We start from the raw sequence: 22,422 nt of genomic DNA on the forward strand, positions 1-22,422 counted from the left end.
TTTAGTTACCGTGAGTCAGCCCTGCAAGTCTTAAAAACTCTAGGTGAATTTAAAAATAGTTTCCGGCCGAGCGCTGTGGCTCACGCCTGTAATCCCAGCACTTTGGGAGGCCGAGGCGGGCGGATCTCGAGACCATCCTGGCCAACACGGTGAAACCCCGTCTCTACTAAAAATACAAAAATAATTAGCTGGGCGTGGTGGCGGGCGCATGTAGTCCCAGCTACTCGGGAGGCTGAGGCTGGAGAAGGGCGTGAACCCGGGAGGTAGAGCTTGCAGTGAGCCGAGATTGCGCCACTGCACTCCAGCCTGGGCGACAGAGCGACTCCGTCACAAAAAATAAAAATAAAAATACATAAAAATAATTTCTGACGGGGCGCGGTGGCTCACGCCTGTAATCCCAGCACTCTGGGAGTCCGAGGCGGGCAGATCACCTGCGGTCAGGAGTTCGAGACCAGCCGGGCCAACATGCTGAAACAGTCTCTACTAAAAATACAAAAATTAGCCGAGAGTGGTGGTACGCGCCTATAATCCCAGCTACTTGGGAGGCTGAGGCAGGAGAATAGCTTGAACCAGGGAGGCAGAGGTTGCAGCGAGCCGAGATCGCACGGCTCCACTCCATCCTGGTAGACAGAGGGAGACTCAAAATAAATAATACAAATAAGTAAATAAAATAAAAATAGTGTCTGATTCTGCAAAGGAGAGGAACAGACTCTGAATTGTGATGGCTCCAATAAGGATAAAGCAGTCTCTGGAGAGCTGCCTGAACAGCCAGACAACCCAGCTCTTAGGCTTCTCCCAAATCTTTAACAGCATTTCCTTAACTGTGGTAGATGCAGGCTCCTGGAACCAGAGGCCTAGGGTCCAGACGAAATTGTTAAGATGTTCCCTATAAAACGCTTCCTTAAGTCGGCAACAGAATGAACTGTTAAGAGAGCTGTCCTGAAATACAGACCCCTGAGGTCCAGACATGTTGGAGGAGAGCCCTCTCTTTTTGCAGCACGGACTGGGCCAGAGAGGTATAGCCTGCAAGATGAATTTCAGTATGTGTAACTGCTGGGGTGATGATTGCAAGTAATCTAAGTTTGAGATGTTGATTGTGTGGAATAAGATAGTGACAAGAAGCATGGAAAGAAAACCATAACATTTAATATGCAAATTAAATGATTGATTTGAGAAATACTTGTTTATCAGATACCGTGCTAGGCACTGAAAATATAGAACTGGATAAAACAAATTCAGTCTCTAACGGAATTTACAGTCTAGGAGGATGGGTGGGCAACAGACAATAAAAACGTTAAAAAATAAAAGAACAAGGAAACTTTATATAGTAAAAAATTCTATGAAGAAAATAAAACAGCTTGAGGTTGATGTGATGGGAGGTTGGTGAGTGAAAGAAGGGATGGTGTGTTGGTTTCCTAGGGCTGCCACAACAAATTGAATATCAGGTTTTCATCTGTCTATTCATTTTTTCAATAAATTAAGTTGCACCAGTAGAAGGATACTGTCCCACGAGGGAATTGAGGTCAGAAGAACTCGGAGAAAACAGCAAGCCCACTGGAAAGAGATGATACTCATAAGAAGAACTAAAAGAGATTTACTAGAACTTGATAAGCCGTCGGGACAAAGAGAGCTGAGACTTCGTCTGTCTGACAACATATGCCGGGCCCGGCAATTATAGAGATAATTGTATACTGAACAAATAGGGTTATTTGTGGAAGTTGGGGACAAAATGGCAGCTGCCCCCTCTGAGGTTCGAACTCAGGACCTTCAGATTATGAGACTGACGCGCTGCCTACTGCGCTAAGGAGGCAGACAACTAGTGCTCCTCAGCAGGTGTTTTCAACACTGATTTTTACCTTATTTAAACATTTTTGTCTACATTACCTTTATTTTAAATTTCTAAAATAAAATATTCTTATGAAACTTCTCAAAGCTCACCAGCTTCCAAAACCTGAATCAGATGAAGAAAGTCGCTGCTGATCCCGCTGCTTTTGCCCCTCTTATTCTGAACTGATGACCCCCCACTTCTCACCTTAGGTGGAAAATTTCCAAAACGTCCTGTCCAGAAACCTGACAATTAACCTGCACGGGCGTCCATCCATTTTGTCTGGAGAGATCAGGAAAACGGCCTGTTTTTCTCTCTCCCTCCATACCGGTTCTTTCCCGCAGGAAAAGTGATCCGGTGTTTCCCATCCGGAAGCATTGAAGCGTTTACTATCTTAAACAACAAAACAATGTCCTTTGACAGGCGTCTCCACCTGTCGCTATCTCATGTGCTCAAACGTCTTGTAAGGCCGTCTTAATGTACAGCAAACTTCTTGTAAGGCCGTCTTAATGTACAGCAAACTCCTTGTAAGGCCGTCTGTTTTAAAAAAATACCTCCCTAAGTCCCACTGGCTTTTCAACCCACTGCAGTCTTCCCCAATCACGTCTCCGTCTCGGTCTTGAGGAAGTCCAAAGGGATTTGGACAAATGCAACTTCATGGGGTAAAGAATATGGCGCTCTTGGTGCAAACTCTTGGGCATCTGCTAGGATGTGAGAACGGTAGTAATAGCAGGAAGGGGTGAAAAGCTTGTCTTCTCCACTGTCTTTGTTTGCCAGGGGATTGTCTGGAGTTTAGCACTCAAAGACCCACTTCCCAGGAAAACCCTACCTGGGATGTGAAAAGTCCGGGCTTTCGGTTTTTGGCGATAGGTTGGAGAGAATATATACACACAAAAAGTGACAACCCCATCCTTGTTCCCACCCCTGCCCCAGGGCCGAAAGCAACACTGATTTTATTGCCAATGGATAATAGGGTTTAGGTTATCCCACTTTTGTAGTTGTCGCCGTTTTTCCCCTGTCCGCTGATGGTGACAACCTTGCACCGTGCATCGCTCTGAGTGAGGCGACTTAAATGCGCGATGTTACCGTTTTCAGCCGTGACCGTAGCACTCGGTCTTTGACTGTAGACTGTTGTGTCTACATAGTGCTAGTTTGTATTGCTAGTTTAATTTTTTTTTTTTTTTTTGAGACGGAGTTTCGTTCTTGTCGCCCAGGCTGGAGGGCAACGGCGTGATCTTGGGTCACTGCAACAGCTGCCTCCAGGGTTCAAGCGATTCTCCTGCCTCAGCCTCCCGAGTAGCTGGGATTACAAGCCTGCACCACCACGCCCGGCTAATTTTTTGTATCTTTAGTAGAGACGGGGTTTCACCATGTTGGCCAGGCTATTCTGGAACTGCTGACCTCAAGTGATCCGCCCGCCTCGACCTCGCAAAGTGCTGGGATTACAGGCCTGAGCCACCGCGCCCGGCCTTAGTTTAATTTTTAACATTGTGAATATTATGGCCAGATTTTTAGAGTTTAGATAACGAAAACGAGAACGATTATCATGCGAACGCCAGCATAACCCAGATAGCACTGAAAAAGTCTAAGTAGACTGTTACTTCAATGACAGATAGAAGGACACATACAACCGGATTTGGAGAATAAATAATCAAAACGGAGCATACTACGCAATATTCAAAACAGATTTGGATGTGAAAGTACACAGGGAGACGGCATCTCTCAAGTCTGGGATGAGACAGGCAAGAACTTCTGAACCAATCAAAAGTGTTTTTGTCTCCCAAAAGTGACACCAGCGCTCTGTAGAGAATAGCATTGGGCTTGCTTACAAGGAGACCTTAAAAAAAGTTAAAATTAAATAAAAGAAAATGGTATTGGGCAGAATATTAGAAAAGAACACGCATTATTTTATGGCTTCCTTAATTACTCTATTTCCTGATTCAGAGGTTGCATCTCGTGGGTGAACAAGAGGAAATTCTGATACCACATATTGGTCTCTTGCAGTGTACAGCTGATTCTATCAGACGACCTTGCTCTCTACAACATAATGATGTGTCAAATCCACCTCAACCATTAAAAAAAAAGTTTCCCTTAGCTCTTACATACTTTGATTTGAAACATGATGTTGAAAATCATCTTTCCTGGTATGCATGAAGACTTAATGAAACCACTTGAAGCATAAACAATCATTGATATGTTGGTCAACTACAAGTTAGATCTTGCTCATCTATCTGCATATTTGGCAGACAGTGCAAATGTAAATTTTGGCAAATTCCATTCAGACTATAAACTTTCTACCAAAGAAAATGAAAAGATCTTACATGTGACGTGTTCTGCACATGTTGTTCACAACACTGCTAAGAGGCCGGGCGTGATGGCTCACGCCTGTAATCCCAGCACTTTAGGAGGCCAAAGCTGGTGGATCACCTGAGGTCAGGAGTTTGAGACCAGCCTGGCTAACATGGTGAAACCCCGTTTCTACTAAAAATACAAAAAATCAACGGGGTGTGGTGGCACATGCCTGTAATCCCAGCTACTCGGGAGGCTGAGGCAGGAGAATCACTTGAACCCCAGAGGCAGAGGTTGCAGTGAGCCGAGATCGTACCATTGCACTCCAGCTTGGGCAACAAGAGCGAAACTCCGTCTCAAACAAAACAAAACAAAACAAACAACACTGCTAAGAAGGATTGTGATTTGTTTACTGGTGATATTGAGGCTTTCATGGCTTAATGAGATTTATGGTCACTTTTTAGTTTCCTCAAAATGTGCAGAAACAATAAGAATTTTCACTTTATAGAAACGAAAGGAGGTAGCCTCCTTAGAAATGTCTAAAGTTGACTATAATTATTGCTGGCCATAGGATAGATGTTAAAATGTTTACTTGGTGTAAAATCATATTTTCAAAATGTGGGACAAGAGGAATGCTATTCTCTAATTTGACAATATTTTAAGAGTGAGAATGGAGAAAAGAACTACCGTAAAACAGAAATTTATACTTTCATTTGTTTGACGTTGTCGAAGAACAAAATTTCAACACACTTAGGTTAAAGATCAGATCAACTTTTATTGGCAATTCATGAATCAGGCAGCATCTCATCTACAAAATAGGAAGGTGCTCTGACGAGGAGATGAGGTTATAGGTAGAAAAGGCTGAAGAAACTACAAACAAGGAACAATAGGTGGATTGGTAATTACAAAGTGACTGTCCTTGTAAGGTTAAAGCAGAGGATACTTCCTTAACATGCTGGCTGAGGTAGTCTGGACCCTTTTCTACTGGTTATTGTGAATCTCCTGTTTTTTGGAAAACTGGCCTGTTTTAAATTTCAGTTTGATTACTTGGCACCCTGCACAAAGGGCTCCCTTCTGGTTTGGTCTGGTCTGTTGGAGCCTAATGCAGGAGTTCATTCCAAAACAATAGCCTCCCATTAATTTTAACAATGTTATGTTATGTAGATTGTGACATAAAGATTCATACACTAAGAAAAGATTCTTTTTTTAAAAAAAAAAGACTGCTTCAGAATGCAAGTTAAATAGGACTTTATCAATCTCTTGCTAAAAATACAATTTATTTGGAATCCAAGCTTTGTTTCCCAAATTTATCATTTATTTATTTCATTTTATTTATTAATTTTTTTGAGATGGAGTCTCCCTCTGTTGCCCAGGCTGGAGTGCTGTGGTGCGATCTCAGCTCGCTGCAACAGTCTGCTATTGCTAGTAAGTAAAATACCGAGTATTCAATGCTCAAATGCTTTTGTTGAGAGGATATTTAGTGTGATTTTATCACACTAGAATGATACCAGGAATCTAAGTAATATGGGCTTGATAAGAGCAGAGCTGCAATTCAAAGTGAATTTTACCTTTGACTGTATTCAGTATTACCACTATATAAAAGAAAATAAAGATGTCTTAAATGTTGCAGACAGGTCACAGAAAGAATATTGGAAAAAGAAACAGAAAGGGTAAAGATACTCGATTGTTTCATGCGACAGAAAGAAATGTCATTATTTTTTATTAAATATAGGTAATATCTGCTTAAGTAGTTTTATTGTAGTTATGTTCTTCTTTTACATTCTTGTTGTATTTTACGTTTTTGTATTTATGTTTTTCATTTATTAATGCGCCTTAAAGTTGAAATAATATAGCCTATGAGACTTAAATATCCAATAGTTTTAAAAAGTTAAAATAAATCACTACATAAGAGAACAGATAGAAATACTAAAAACATATTGTTATATTTTTCCCAAACATATTATTTATGTAATTAGTCCTATTATAAATTACTTCTAATTGCCATTATTAACTACTCCTATTGAGAGGTGACAGCATGCTGGCAGTCCTCAGAGCCCTCGCTTGCTCTCGGCACCTCCCCTGCCTGGGCTCCCACTTTGGTGGCATTTGAGGAGCCCTTCAGCCCCCCCACTGCACTGTGGGAGCCCCTTTCTGGGCTGGCCAAGGCTGGGGTCCACTTCCTCAGCTTGCAGGGAGGTGTGGACGGAGAGGCACGAGCGGGAACCGGGGCTGTGTGCGGCGCTTGCCGGCCAGCTGGAGTTCCGGGTGGGCGTGGGCTTGGTGGGCCCCGCACTCGGAGCAGCCAGCCAGCCCTGCTGGCCCCGGGCAATAGGGAACTTAGCACCTGGGCCAGTGGCTGCGGAGGGTGTACTGGGTCCCCAGCAGTGCCAGCCCACCAGTGCTGTGCTCGATTTCTCGCTGGGCCTTAGCTGCCTTCCCACGGGGCAGGGCTCGGGACCTGCAGCCCACCATGCCTGAGCCTCCCATCCACTCCATGGGCTCCTGTGCGGCCCGAGCCTCCCGGACGAGCACCACCCCCTACTCCATGGTGCCCAGTCCCATGGACCACCCAAGGGCTGAGAAATGCGAGCACAGGGCGCAGGACTGGTAGCCAGCTCCACCTACAGCCCCGGTGCAGGATCCTCTAAGTGAACCCAGCTGGGCTCCTGAGTCTGGTGGGGATGTGGAGAGTCTTTATATGTAGCTCAGGATTGTAAATACACCAATCAGCACCCTGTGTTTAGCTCAAGGTTTGTGAGTGCACCAATCGACACTCTGTATCTAGCTGCTCTGGTGAGGACGTGGAGAACCTTTATGTCTAGCTCAGGGATTGTAAATACACCAATCGGCACTCTGTATCCAGCTCAAGGTTTGTAAACACACCAATCAGCACCCTGTGTTTAGCTCAAGGTTTATGAGTGCACCAATCGACACTCTGTATCTAGCTGCTCTGGTGAGGATGTGGAGAACCTTTATGTCTAGCTCAGAGATTGTAAATACACCAATCGGCACTCTGTATCTAGCTCAAGATTTGTAAACACACCAATCAGCACCCTGTGTTTAGCTCAAGGTTTGTGAGTGCACCAATCGACACTCTGGCTGCTCTGGTGGGGCCTTGGAGAACCTGTGTGTCAAAACTCTGTATCTAACTAATCTGTTGGGGAGGTGGAGAACCTTTGTATCTAGCTCAGGGATTGTAAACGCACCAATCAGCGCCCTGACAAAACAGGCCACTGGGCTCTACCAATCAGCAGGATGTGGATGGGGCCAGATAGGAGAATAAAAGCAGGCTGCCCGAGCCAGCATTGGCAATCCTCTCGGGTTCCTTTCCACATTGTGGAAGCTTTGTTCTTTCGCTTTTTGCAATAAATCTTGCAACTGGTCACTCTTTGGGTCCATGCTGCTTTTGTGAGCTGTAAGACTCACCGTGAAGATCTGCAGTTTCATTCCTGAGCCCAGCAAAACCACGAGCCTACTGGGAAAAACAAACAACTCCAGATGCGCTACCTTAAGAGATGTAACACTCACTATGAAAGTCTGCAGCTTCACTCCTGAGCCAGTGAGACCACGAACCCACCAGAAGAAAGAAACTCCGAACACATCTGAACATCAGAAGGGGCAGACTCCAGACCCACCACCTTAAGAGCTGTAATGCTCACCGTGAGGGTCCGTGGCTTCATTCTTGAAGTCAGTGAGACCAAGAACCTACCAATTCTGGACACACCATTATTGTTTTGTTTAAGTAATAACAGTTTTGCAATGGAGAAACAAATATTGCAGAATAATATATAATTTCAAACATCTATTTTTAAAATTTGATGTCAAAGTAATACATGCATTTATTATATAATTGTTGGATTTTTTTTTTGTGGGGGTGGAAAGGTTTGGTATGGCTATGTCTCAGTTGGCTCCCTAAAAAGTTGAACAGCAACAGCAACTGGTTCACCAGTTTGGGGAAACACTATTTATGAAAAGAATAAAGAATTAAGAGGTCTCAGTGAGCTTCAAGGACAACGTCTGGCTTAACAGATAAAAATGGATGGTTTGATAGATAATAATGGTTTATAGGTGATTGGAGGTAACAGGATGATTGCCAATGGCTTTTCCTTCTTTTCAGATACTTATTCTTTGGGTCATGAAACTGCTTCTGCCTGAATAATAAAACAATTTTAGCAACACTGAAGGAAGTTATTATTTCCTTTCTGCTGTGAAAAAAGATTAAAAGAGGTCATCTCATAAACTTGAGGCTGGTATACTTGAGGTCTTTCATTAACATTCAAGGATTTAATATTTGTGAAAGAAGACCCTCAGGGGTCTAATGAGGAACATGTTGTTTTTTTTTAAATTTATTTTTATTATTTATTTATTTATTTATTTATTTTGAGATGGAGTCTTGCTCTGTTGCCCAGGCTGGAGTGCAGTGGAGCCATCTTGGCTCACTGCAAGCTCCGCCTCCCGGGTTCACGCCATTCTCCTGCCTCAGCCTCCCAAGTAGCTGGGACTACAGGCGCCCGCCACCACACCTGGCTAATTTTTTTGTATTTTTAGTAGAGACGGGGTTTCACCGTGTTAGCCAGGATGGACTCGATCTCCTGACCTCGTGATCCACCTGCTTCGGCCTCCCAAAGAGCTGGGATTACAGGCGTGAGCCACTGCGCCTGGTCGGAATGTGTTTTCATGAAGGGGGAATATCAACTGGGCCAAATGACATTGAGAGGCTGAGCAAATTGAAGCCTGAAAATTGAACATTGGGAGAGCATTGGGAACATTATGGCAGACGGGAGACAGGACTAGATTGCACCTCTTACTTCAATGGACGGAGCAGCGTGTGGAGGCCCTCATCATGAATTTTAACTCCAGAACGACTTCAGGAATAAATCCGGAAACCCGAGAGGACCCACGGACCCTCTGAAGGAAGCAGATTGCTCCTGTAGGACCTGGGAGACACCTCAAATACTGTGAGTGCCCAAACTGTGGAAGTGAGAAAGGGAGATCCTCCGCCCCCGAGCACACACCCCCACTGGGGAAACTGAAGGTCTACTTTACGGGAGAAGATTCTGAATTTATCTGGAGCTGAGTCAATTTAGAGAGCCAAGGGAAATACAGGGGTAGAGGAATCAATTGGACAGGCCCTGTGAGCTTGCTGGGTCCCCAAGTAGGCCACTCCTGCTGGCATCACAGGGATCCTTTGGGAGGGCAGCCAGAGGCACAGGGAAAATGGCACAGGAAGAAGGAAACCTCCAGCTGAGCTTTGTAACAATTTGAACTAGTCAAGAAACCTCATGGCCAGAACTTGGGGGAGGGCATGAATCCAGCATGCAGACTCCACAGGTAGGGGAAGAACTAAAACCCTACTTTCTTTCACAGCTGGGAGGCGGGTAGCCTGGGGCAAATTCTCAACTCTTCTTGCCCACTGCCTGGAAACAGATTTGGTGCTGTTAGGGGAGGCACAGTGGGAGTGAGACTGGCCCTTCAGATTGCATGGGAGCTGGGTGAAGCCTGTGACTGCTGGCTCTCCCCCACTTCCCTGACAACCTACATGACTCAGCAGAGGCAGCCAAAATCCTTCTAGGTACATAACTCCATTGACCTGGGAACCTCCCCTCCTCCACAGCAACCGCAGCAAGACCCACCCAAGGAGAGTCTGAACTCAGACACGCCTAGCCCTGCCCTCACCTGATGGTCCTTCTTTACCCACCCTGATAACTGAACACAAAGGGCATATACCCTTGGGAGTTCTAGGGCCCTGCCTACCGCTGGTTCATCTCCATACTACCACAGTTGATGTTCTCTGGAAAGTGCCACCTACCAACAGGAGGCCAACCAGCACAAAAATAGAGCATTAAACCACCAAAGCTAAGAACCGTCACGGAGTCCATTTCACACCCTGCCACCTCCACTGGAACAGATGCTGGTATCCAAGGCTGAGAGACCCATAGATGGTTCACATCACAGGACTCCGTGAAGACAACCCCCAGTACCAGCTCACAGCCTGGTAGACTTGCTGGGTGGCTAGATCCAGAAGAGAGATAACAATCATTACAGCTTGACCCTCAGGAAGCCACATCCATAGGAAAATGGGGAGAGTACTACATCAAGGCAACACCCTGTGGGACAAAAGAATCTGAACAACAGTTTTAGCCTTAGACCCTCCCTCTGACAGAGCCTACCCAAATGAGAAGGAACCAGAAAACCAACTCTGGTAATATGACAAAACAAGGCTCTTTAACAACCCCCAAAAATCACACTAGCTCACTAGTAATGGATCCAAACCAAGAAGAAATCCCTGATTTACCTGAAAAAGGATTCAGGAGGTTAGTTACTAAGCTAATCAGAGAGGCACCAGAGAAAGGTGAAGCCCAACACAAAGAAATCCAAAAAATGATACAAGAAGTGAAGGGAGAGACCAGGTGCAGTGGTTCATACCTGTAATCCCTGGGAGGCTGAGGTGGGCAGATCATTTGAGGTCAGGAGTTTGAGGTCAGCCTGGCCAACATGGTGAAACTCCATCTTTACTAAAAATACAAAAATTACCTGGGTGTGGTGGCGTGCACCTGTAATGCCAGCTACTTGGGAGGTTGAGGCAGGAGAATCACTTGAACCTGGGAGGCGGAGGTTGCAATGAGCTGAGATCATGTCACTGCACTCCAGCCTGAGCAACACAGTGAGACTTCGTCTCGAAAAAAAAAAAAGTGAAGGGAGAAATATTCAATGAAGCAGATAGCATAAATAAAAAACAATCAAAACTTCAGGAAACATTGGACACATATATAGAAATGCAAAATGCTCTGGAAAGTCTCACCAATAGAATTGAACAAGTAGAATAAGGAAATTCAGAGCTTGAAGGCAAGGTCTTTGAATTAAACCAATCCAACAAACACAAAGAAAAAAGAAAAAGAAAATATGAACAAAGCCTCCAAGAAGTCTGGGATTATGTAATGACCAAACCTAAGAATAATTGGCGTTCCGGAGTAAAAAGAGAAATCTAAAAGTTTTGAAAACGTATTTGGGGGAATAATCGAGGAAAACTTCCCTGGTCTTGCTAGAGGCCTAGACATCCAAACACAAGAAGCACAAAAAACACCTGGAAAATTCATCACAAAAAAGATCATTGCCTAGGCACATTGTCATCAAGTTATCTAAAGTTAAGGCAAAGGAAAGAATCTTCAGAGTTGTGAGACAAAACCACCAGGTAACCTATAAAGGAAAACCTTCAGATTAACAACAGATTTCTCAGCAGAAACCTTACAAGCTAGAAGGGATTGGGGCCCAACATTCAGCCTCCTCAAACAAAACAATTATCAGCCAAGAATTTTGTATCCTGCAAAACTAAGCATCTTATATGAAAGAAAGATAGTCTTTTTCAGACAAACCAATGCTGAGAGAATTTGCCACTACCAAGCCACCACTACAAGAACTGATAAAAGGTTCTCTAAATCTTGGCCAGTCGCGGTGGCTCACACCTGTAATCCCAGCACTTTGGGAGGCCGAGGCGGGTGGATCACCAGGTCAGGAGATCGAGACCATCCTGGCTAACACGGTGAGACCCCCGTCTCTACTAAAAATACAAAAAATTAGCCAGGTGTGGTGGCGGGCACCTGTAGTCCCAGCTACTCGGGAGGCTGAGGCAGGAGAATGGCGTGAACCCAGGAGGCAGGGCTTGCAGTGAGCCGAGATGGCGCCACTGCACTCCAGCCTGGGCGACAGTGCAATACTCCGTCTCAAAAAGAAAAAAAAAAAAGCGGAGGAAAACGGCATTTCATTCAAACGGACAATAAAATTGAGCAGGCGTAGCTATTCTTATATCAGACAAAACAAACTTTAAAGCAACAGCAGTTAAAAAAGACAAAGAGAGACATTATATAATGGTAAAAGGCCTTGTCTAACAAGAAAATATCACAATCCTAAACATGTGTGCACCTATGATTGAAGCTCCCAAATTTATAAAACAATTACTTAATAGCCCTAACAAATGAGATAGATGGCAACACAATAATAGCGAGGGACTTCAATACTCCACTGACAGTACTAGACAGGTCATCAAGACAGAAAGTCAGCAAAGAAACAATGGATTTAAACTATACCTTGGAACAAATGGACTTAACAGATATATACAAAACATTCCATTCAACAACTGCAGAATACACATTCTATTCAACAGCACATGAAACTTTCTCCAAGATAGACCATATGATAGGCCACAAAATGAGGCTCAATAAATTTAAGAAAATTCAAATTATATGAAGCACTCTCTCAGACTACAGTGGAATAAAACTGGAAATCAACTCCAAAAGGAACCTTCAAAACCATGCAAATACATAGAAATTAAATAAGCTGCTCCTGAATGAACATTAGGTCAAAAATGAAATCAAGATGGAAATTAAAAAATTCCTTGAACTGAACGACAATAGTGACAACCTATTAAAACCTCTGGGAAACAGCAAAGGCAGTGCTAAGAGGAAAGTTCATAGCCCTAAACACCTACATCAAGAAGACTGAAAGAACACAAACTGACAACCTAAGGTCACATCTCAAGGAACTGGAGAAACAAGAACAAACCAAACCCAAACACAGCAGAAGAAAGGAAATGACCAAGATCACAGCAGAACTAAATGAAATTGAAACAAACAAACAAAAAAATACAAAAGATAAATAAAACAAAAATCTGGTTCTTTGAAAAGATAAAATTGATAGACCTTTAGCAAGATTAACCAAGAAAAGAAGAGAGAAAATCCAAATAACTTCAATAAAAAATGAAATGGGAGATATTACAGCTGACACCACAGAAATACAAAAGATCATTCAAGGCTGCTATGAATACCTCTATACACATAAACTAGAAAACCTGGAAGAGATGGATAAATTCTTAGAAAGATGCAACCCTCCTAGCTTAAATCAGGAAGAATCAGATACACTGAACAGACAAATAACAAGCAGCGAGATTAAAATGATAACTACAAAATTACCAGGCCAAGCTGGGCATGGTGGCTTATGCCTGTAATCCCAGAATTTTGAGAGGCTGAGGTGAGTGGATCACCTGACATCAGGAGTTCGAGACCAGCCTGGCTAACATGGGGAAACCCCATCTCTACTAAAAATACAAAAAATTAGCTGGGTGTGGTGGTGGGTACCTGTAATCCCAGCTACTTGGGAGGCTGAGGCAACATAATCGCTTGAACCCAGGAGGCAAAGGTGTAGTAAGCCGAGGTCACACCATTGCACTCCAGCTTGGGCAACAAGAGTGAGACTCCGTCTCAAAAAAAAAAAAAACAAAAAAAAAATTACCAGGTCAGGCATGGTGACCCATGCCTGCAATCTCTTTGGGAGGCCAAGGCGGGTGGATCACCTGAGGTCAGGAGTTGGAGACCAGCCTGGCCAATATGGTGAAACTCTGTCTTTACTAAAAATACAAAATTAGCCGGTGGTGGTGGCGGGCCCCTGTAATCCCAATTACCTGGGAGTCTGAGGCAGAAGAATCCCAATTATCCAGGAGGCGAGGCTGCAGTGAGCCGAGATCATGCCACTGCACTCCAGCCTGGGTGACCGAGCGAGACTCCGTCTAAAAAAGACAAACAAACAAAAAACATTATCAACAAAAGAAGTTCAGTACCAGATGGATTCACAGCAGAATTCTACCAGACATTCAAAGAAGAATTGGTACCAATCCTATTGACGCTATTCCACAAGATAGAGGATGAGGGAACCCTCCCTAATTCATTCTATGAAGCCGGTATCACCCTAATACCAAAACCAGGAAAGGACATAACCAAAAAAGAAAACTACAGACCAATATCCCTGATGAACATAGATGCTCAAATCCTTAACAAAATACTAGCTAACCGAATCCAACAACATATCAAAAAGATAATCCACATTGATCAAGTGGGTTTCATACCAGGATGCAGGGATGGTTTAACATACACAAGTATGTGTGCAATAAATGTGATACACCACATAAACAGGGTTAAAAACAAAAATTACACAATCATCTCAATAGATGCAGAAAAAGCATTCAACAATATCAAGCATCCTTTTATGATTAAAATTCTTAGCAAAATCGGGATACAAGGGACATACCTCAACGTAATAAAAGCCATCTATGACAAACCTACATGCAACATAATCTGAATGGGGAAAAGTTGAAAGCATTCCCTCTGAGAACTGAAACAAAACAAGGATACCCACTGTCACCACTCCTCTTCAACATAGTACTGAAAGTCCTAGCCAGAGCAATCAGATAAGAGAAAGGAAGGGCATCCAAATCAGTAAAGAGGAACTCAAACTGTCACTATTTGTTGATGATATGATTGTTTACCTTGAACACCCTAAAGACTCCTCCAGAAAGCTCCTAGAATGGATAAAAGAATTCAGTAGTTTCTGGATATAAAATTAATGTACGCAAATCAGTAGCTCTTCTATACAGCAACAGCAACCAAGTGGAGAATCAAATCAAGAACTCAACCCCGTTTACAATAGCTGCAAAAACAATTAAAATACTTAGAAATATACCTAACCAAGGAGGAGAAAGACCTCTACAAGTAAAACTACAAAACACTGCTGAAAGAAATCATAGACAACACAAACAAATGGAAACACAACCCTTGCTCATGGGTAGAATCAATATTGTGAAAATGATCAAACTGCCAAAAGCAATCTATAAATTCAATACAATTCCCATCAAAATATCACCATCATTCTTCACAGAATTAGAAAAAAAAATCCTAAAATTCATATGGAATGGAAAAAGAGCCCACATAGCCAAAGCAAGACTAAGCAAAAAGAACAAATCTGGAGGCATCACATTATCTGATTTCAAACTATACTATAAGGCCATAGTCACCAAAACAGCATGGTACAGGTATAAAAATAGGCACATAGACCAATGGAACAGTAGAGATCCCAGAAATAAACCCAAATACTTACAGCCAACTGATCTTCCACAAAGCAAACAAAAACATAATATGGGGAAAGGACACTCTTTTCAACAAATGTGCTGGGATAATTGGCTAGTCACATGTAGGAGAATGAAACTGGATCCTCATCTCTCACCTTATACAAAAATCAACTCAAGATGGATTAAGGACTTAAATCTAAGACCTGAAACTATAAAAATTCTGGAAGATAACATTGGAAAAACCCTTCTAGACATTGGCTTAGGCAAGGATTTCATGCCTAAGAACCCAAAAACAAATGCAATAAAAACAAAGATAAATAGTTGGGACTTAATTAAACTAAAGAGCTTTTTCACAGCCAAAGGACAGTCAGCAGAGTAAACAGACAACTCACAGAGTGGGAGAAAATCTTCACAATCTATACATCTGACAAAAGACTAATATCCATAATCTACAATGAACTCAAACAAATCAGTAGGGAAAAGAAACAAACAATCCCATCAAAAAGTGGGCTAAGGACAGGAATAGACAATTCTCAAAAGAAGATATCCAAATGGCCAGCAAACATATAAAAAATGCTCAACACCACTAATGATCAGGGAAATGCACATCAAAACTACAATGTGATACCACCTTACTCCTGCAATAATGACCATAATCAAAAAAATCAAAAAACAGTAGATGTTGGTGTGGATGCGGTGATCAGGGAACACTTCTACACTGCTGGTGGGAATGTAAACTAGTACAACCACTGTGGAAAACAGTGGGGGAGATTTCTTAAAGAACTAAAGTAGAGCTACCCTTTGATCCAGTAATCCCACTACTGGGTATCTACCTAGAGGAAAAAAAGTCATTAAACAAAAAAGATACTTGAACATGCATGTTTATAGCAGCACAATTCACAATTGCAAAATTGTGGAGCCAACTCAAATGCCTGTCAATCAATGAGTGGATAAAGAAACTGTGGTATATATATACAATGGAATACTACTTAGCAATAAAAAGGAATGAATTAATGGCATTTGCAATGACCTGAATGGGATTGGAGACTATTCTTCTTTTTTTTTTTTTTTTTTTTTTTTTTTTGAGACGGAGTCTGTCTCTGTCCCCAGGCTCAAGTGCAGTGGCATGATCTCGGCTTGCTGCAACCTCTGCCTCCTGGGTTCAAGTGATTCTCCTGCCTCAGCCTCCCAAGTAGCTGGAATTACAGGCGCCTAACACTATGAATGGCTAATTTTTGTATTTTAGTAGATACAGGGTTTCACCTTGTTGGCCAAGCTGGGTTTGAACTGCTGACCTCAGGTGATCTGCCTGCCTCGGTCTCCCAAAGTGCTGGGATTACAGGTGTGGGCCACTGTGCCTGACCTTGGAGACTATTATTTTAAGTGAAGTAATTTAGGAATGGAAAACGAAACATGATATGTTCTCACCAATAAGCTATGAGGATGCAAAGGCATAAGAATGATACAATGGACTTTGGGGGAAGGGTGGGAGGAGAGTGAGGAATAAAATACTACAAATAGGGTGCAGTGTATACTTCTCGGGTGATGGGTGCACCAAAATCTCACAAATCACCACTAAAGAACTTACTCGTGTAACCAAACGCCACCTGTTCCCCAATAACTTATGGAAAAATTCATAAATAAATAAATTAGTTAATTATGAAAAAGAAAACTAACCATTGGATCTAGCAAGATGGAGGTTGCTGGGATTTGACAAGGAAGTTTCAGTGGAATGGAGGGGAGGAAACCTTGGTTTAGAGTGTGACAAAGAAAGGAGCGCAGTTAGGAGTATTCTCTATTCATTCACCTATTCATATTCAGATACGCCTTTGCAAAGATTATCACAGTGAGAGAAATCTAACATGGCTCACTCCATCTTGCTTCTTTCTACCTTCACAGGCTGATCATCCTCACTCATTCTTAGGTGTAGGCCAAGCTAACCATTGGAGGAATTTAGTTTATAGTTTAAGTTGGAAGCAAAGATGATAATATCCCTCCTTGTTTGGGGTGCTAAAACTGCCTTTGTAAGACAAATGAAAGACCATAAAATTAGGATTCTGAAAGGGGCCTGAATTCTGCTAAAATGTAGGTATAGTTTCTATAATCCCTTACGGCTCAGGAGTCATGTGGTCAGAGGTCACATGATCTGTGACTTCTCCAGTTGTTCCTATAGATAACATCACTATATAGATCCTAAGATTGGTCTTAAAGATGCTTTTCAGACTTTTGTATTCTACCAACCGACTGACCCCACCTGGATTTGGGACTCACAACTCAACTGATCCTATACCTCCCTCCAACCCTCCACGAGAGGTGAACTCAGCACATGAGGACCGTTTTCCACACCCCTGTGATTGCATCCCCAACCAATCAGCAGCACTCATTCCTTTGTTCCCTGCCCACCAAACTATCCTTGAAAAACCCTAACTTCTAAACCTTCAGGAAGACTGATTTAAGCAATAACTCCATCTTCCACGTGGCTGGCCTTGTGTTAATTAAACTGGTTTTTTTGTTTGTTTGTTTGTTTGTTTTTTACCTCCGAACTTCCTATTGGTCTCCTGCGCCCCAGAGGGTACCCTGCTTTTGCCAACTTGATGTCTCAGAACTTTGGTGTCCTTGGTCTCAGACACCACTTTGCCATCCACTCACTATCGGGCGGGTGGTGGTCTTTCGGATGGTTTGCATGGAGTTGCTGCTGTCCAGGGCATCACGAAGGCTGAAGTCCTCGCCATCTTCCAGCAGGCGGCGGTAGGTGGCGATCTCAGCCTCCAGCTTTACCTTGATGTTCAGCAGGGCCTCGCACTCCTGGGCCTGGCGCTATCCGTCTGCCCCGGTCTGTGTCAGCTCTGACTCCAGGTGCAGCAGGATTCCGCTGAGCTGCTCCATCTGCAGGACATAGCGGGCCTCCACCTCCCTCAAGCTGTTCTCCAAGCTGGCCTTCAGATTTCTCATGGAGTCCAGGTCGATCTCCAAGGACTGGACTGTATATCTCTGCTCCGTGAGCGTCATCTCAGCAGCTCCAACACCGATGGACTGCATGGTGACCACTGTGGTGCACTCTCAATCTGCTGAGGCCAGTGCTTGTCTAGCTCCTCTCGGTTCTTCCAAGACAGCTCGTCTTATTGGGCCCAGATGTCTGCCATGATCTTGGCGAGGTCCTGAGATTTGGGGACATCTACCTCCACGGTCAACCCAGAGATGGCAATCTGGGCTTGTAGGCCTTTTACTTCCTCTTCTTGGTTCTTCTTCAGGAAGAGCAGCTCCTCCTTGAGAGCCTCGATCTCTGTCTCCAGCTGCAGCCGAGTGACATTGGTATCATCAATGACCTTGCGGAACCCATGGATGTCGCTCTCCACAGACTAGCGCATGGCCAGCTCTGTCTCACACTCGACTCTGAAGTCAACAGCAGCAAGTCGGGCATTGTCAATCTGCAGAACGATGCGGGCATTGTCCACAGTATTTGATCTGAGCCCCCAGGTCCTCCATGGTCTTGAAGTAATTTGTCCAGTCTCCGACCTGGCGTCCCTTCTTCTCCAGGTGCTCCCGGATTTTGCTCTCCAGCTTCCGGTTCTTGGTCTCCATGCTTCTCACTCTGTCCAGGTAGGAGGCCAGGCGGTCCTTCAGGCTTTGCATGGTCTCCTTCTCGTTCTGGATGCCTCCCATTCCTGCCAGAACCCCAGCCATCCCTGCCGCCAGGCCTCCAGACCCCATGCCGCCCCAGAAGCTGGTGGAGGGGGACGCGGAGATCCGGGAACCAGAGCCCCCGGCGCCTGCATAGACGCTGGCCGCGCTGCAGACTGGCTGGGAACCGTAGCTGGGCGCCTGGACAGAGCCCAGGGACCGGTAGTTGGTGGAGAAGGTGGAGCGAGTGGTGAAGCTCTTGCTGTCCGGGGAGGAGAGCGAGAGGACAGGACTCAGGCTTTGCTGACGACCAATTAAACTCTTAAACGCAATACCACAGTCTCAGTGAAATGATTTTGTCTGTGCAGGGTGGGGGCAGGAAGAACCTGTCTGGTGATTACATGACCAATGATTGTGAGTGAGACAAAGGTTTTGTAAGCTACTAATGCTGATAATTAATCATGAAATTTAAGTTGTGTAAAGAGGGAAGTAAAGATGTAAGGAGAAAGGAGATGCATTAAATAATTTTCCACTGGGCAAAAGAAAATAAGCTGAAAAAACAGAAGGTGATAATCAGTATAAGAGATGATTGAAATTTACATCTTGGGCTTGGTGCCTGCAGTTTAGGTTAATGTCAAGGTCAAGGGTAGTGTGTTTTTCAAAATGTATATTGTGACACCCTTGTGGCACATGAAGTTAATTGAGTGGATCATGAGTAGAATTTTGATTTTAGTGAAAGAGAATGGAATGCAAAATGTCCCAGTGCATTGCAAATAAATAAGAGTTGTGTTGTAACCTATACTTATATTTTTTATTATGGGTTCCACTAAAAAAGTTTGAAAAACAGAATGGGATATTTAGAAATGAAAAAGTCAAGGACCTGGGGGAGACTAATGGCTGAGGGAATGCATGTCCCCCTGCACACCTGAAACCCATTTACTAGACAAGGTTTGGGAAGCTCTTTGGTGTATCCACTATACAGAAAGGGAAGGAAGACACCATGAGTAAGATTTGTTTCTCACGAGTTTCATATATACCTGGAAAAGGTGAGAAGTCATAGAAGCTGGCTTTTGACAGAATAATGCAGGCACATTTACTGAAACCATGATTTTTAAAGCAGGAAGAAATCATAGTTCTCAAATTAAGGAAAGTGAGCATATTTCTTTCTACAAAAAGACTATCTTAGATTTTATGTCGAAATATACTCGTGGTTGGGCATGACGGCTCATGCCTGTAATCCCAGCACTTTGGGAGGCTGAGATGGGTGGATCACTCGGCGTCAGGAGTTCCAGACCAGAGTGGCCAAAGCGGTGAAAATCCATCTCTACTAAAAACACAAAAAATTAGGCTGGGCACAGTGGCTGACACCTGTAATCCCAGCGCTTTGGGAGGCTGAGGCAGGCAGATCACTTGAGATCAGGCGTTCAAGACCAGCCTGGCCAAAATGGTGAGACCCTCCCCCCACCCCCGACTCCGTCTCTACTGAAAATACAAAAATTAGGTGGTGGAAGTTGAAGTGAGCCAAGATCGCCCCACTGCACTCCAGCCTGGGCAACAGAGCAAGACTCTGTCTAAAAAAAAAAAAATATATATATATATATATATACATATACACACACACACACACATATGTGTACATATATATATATTTGTGCTATTATTTTCTTATCCTTTTTTAAATCTTCCCTTTTCTCCTCATTCTCCTTCCTCTTTCCTCCTCAATTTGTGAGATTTCTAAATACAGAGTCAATTCTTTTTGAGCATGTTAAGGAGAGGATTACTATCAAGCACCCCCATCAGCTTTGTAGGCTTCTTTTCACTGGGCTCCAAATTCAGTCTTGCTGACTCTGGTAACTTCAAAACATTTTAGCATGCAATAGCATTTCTTTGTTTTGTTTTGTTTTGTTTTGTTTTTGAGATGGAGTCTTGCTCTGTCGCCCAGGCTGGAGTGCGGTGGCGCGATCTCGGCTCACTGCAAGCTCCGCCTCCCGGGTTCACGCCGTTCTCCTGCCTCAGCCTCCCAAGTAGCTGGGACTACAGGCGCCCACCACCACGCCCGGCTAATTTTTTGTACTTTTAGTAGAGACCAGGTTTCACCGTGTTAGCCAGGATGGTCTTGATCTCCTGACCTCGTGATCCGCCCGCCTCGGTCTCCCAAAGTGCTGGGATTACAGGCGTGAGCCACCGCACCCGGCTAGCATGCAATAGCATTTCTTCATCTGAATGAAATACTGTGTTAAGGCATCAGACTCAAAGTTCGTTATTCTTTTGTTTTCTTATTTTTTCAAATCTCACGTCTTCAGAAGAAAAGTATCATCTTGGAGAAGACTTGCTGCTTCTGATGGCAGGCGACTAGCATCATCACATCTGCATCCTTTTCAATCTTTTCCTCTCTTTTACTTCCCACATCTTATGACCTTTTTTTTTTTTTTTTGAGACGGAGTCTCTCGCTCTGTTGCCCAGGCTGGAGTGCAGTGGCGCGATCTCGGCTCACTGCAAGCTCCGCTTCCCGGGTTCACGCCATTCTCCTGCCTCAGCCTCCCGAGTAGCTGGGACTACAGGCGCCCGCCACCATGCCCGGCTAATTTTTTGTATTTTTAGTAGAGATGGGGTTTCACCATATTAGTCAGGATGGTCTCGATCTCCTGACCTCGTGATCTGCCTGCCTCGGCCTCCCAAAGTGCTGGGATTACAGGCGTGAGCCACCATACCCGCCCTAAGGGAGTGTAATTTTGTCTAGTTCTGAGTTGTTTTTTTGTTTGTTTGTTTTGTTTTTTTTGAGGCGGTGTCTCTCGCTCTGTCGCCCAGGCTGGAGTGCAGTGGCCTGATCTCGGCTCACTGCAAGCTCCGCTTCCCGGGTTCATGCCATTCTCCTGCCTCAGCCTCCCGAGTAGCTGGGACTACAGGCGCCCGCCACCACGCCCGGCTAATTTTTTGTATTTTTAGTAGAGACGGCATTTCACCATATTAGCCAGGATGGTCTCCATCTCCTGACCTCGTGATCCGCCCACCTCGGCCTCCCAAAGTGCTGGGATTACAGGCTTGAGCCACCGCACTCAGCCTGAGGGAGTGTAATTTTGTCTAGCTCTGAGTTGTTTTTGTTTGTTTGTTTTGTTTTGTTTTGTTTTTTTGAGATGGAGTCTCTCGCTCTGTCGCCCAGGCTGGAGTGCAGTGGCCCGATCTCGGCTCACTGCAAGCTCCGCCTCCCGGGTTCAAGCTATTCTCCTATCTCAGTCTCTCGAGTAGCCGGGACTACAGGTGCCGGCCACCATGCTCAGCTAATTTTTGTATTTTTAGCAGGGACGGGGTTTCAGCATGTAGGCCAGGATGGTCTCAATCTCCCGACCTTGTGATCTGCCCACCTCGGCCTCCCAAAGTGCTGGGATTACATACAGGCGTGAGGCACAGCGCCCGGCCCCGTACTTCCCACATCTTATGAATTCTGTGTCTTCAGTTCTTCTGAGTCTGTTTCCTTTATTCTAATACAAGATTACCACCACCGTTTTACATGAGACTTTTTCCCTCCTCTTCCTTCTCCTCTTTCTGTATCTTTCCTGGATTACTGCAACAGCCTCCAGTTTGGTTGATTTGCTTCTAGCCCTGCTTGTCTCCCATTGTTTCTCTATACAGGGAGTCCCACTGGTGCCCTACAAAAAAAGATTTCCAGAGAAGGTGAATGGGGGCTGAAATATGACCTGAGCACTGAGAGCTAAGAGTCCTGGAGAGAGGACTTTTGACATTTTCCCTTTTCTATGCTTCATCAGCCCTGAGGGTTGTCTTTCTGTAATTCATC

At 44.2% G+C, this 22,422-nt stretch overlaps 1 non-coding gene and 1 pseudogene across 1 annotated transcript, besides 2 other annotated features; both read right to left on the reverse strand.

Annotated features, from left to right (window-relative positions):
* Positions 1 to 1,737: 1,737 nt before the first annotated feature.
* Positions 1,738 to 1,810, reverse strand: TRM-CAT3-2 (tRNA-Met (anticodon CAT) 3-2). Its single transcript has one exon. It is a non-coding gene; the product is annotated as a tRNA-Met (tRNA).
* Positions 9,303 to 10,502: an enhancer, noted in NCBI's record as "BRD4-independent group 4 enhancer chr6:28928607-28929806 (GRCh37/hg19 assembly coordinates)". NCBI's record gives its function as "activates an origin of replication core promoter dependent on BRD2, P300/CBP, MED14 and CDK7 cofactors, and independent of BRD4, by STARR-seq in HCT116 cells {active_cell/tissue: HCT116}" and the evidence as "EXISTENCE:reporter gene assay evidence [ECO:0000049][PMID:35650434]".
* Positions 17,210 to 17,394: a silencer, noted in NCBI's record as "fragment chr6:28936514-28936698 (GRCh37/hg19 assembly coordinates)". NCBI's record gives its function as "represses an EF-1alpha promoter that drives an FKBP-Casp9 reporter gene in an ReSE screen in HepG2 liver carcinoma cells {active_cell/tissue: HepG2}" and the evidence as "EXISTENCE:reporter gene assay evidence [ECO:0000049][PMID:32094911]".
* Positions 17,545 to 18,940, reverse strand: KRT18P1 (keratin 18 pseudogene 1; annotated as a pseudogene).

The sequence above is a fragment of the Homo sapiens genome, chromosome 6, assembly GCF_000001405.40.
Source record: "Homo sapiens chromosome 6, GRCh38.p14 Primary Assembly".
In the NCBI taxonomy this organism is placed as follows: domain Eukaryota; kingdom Metazoa; phylum Chordata; class Mammalia; order Primates; family Hominidae; genus Homo; species Homo sapiens.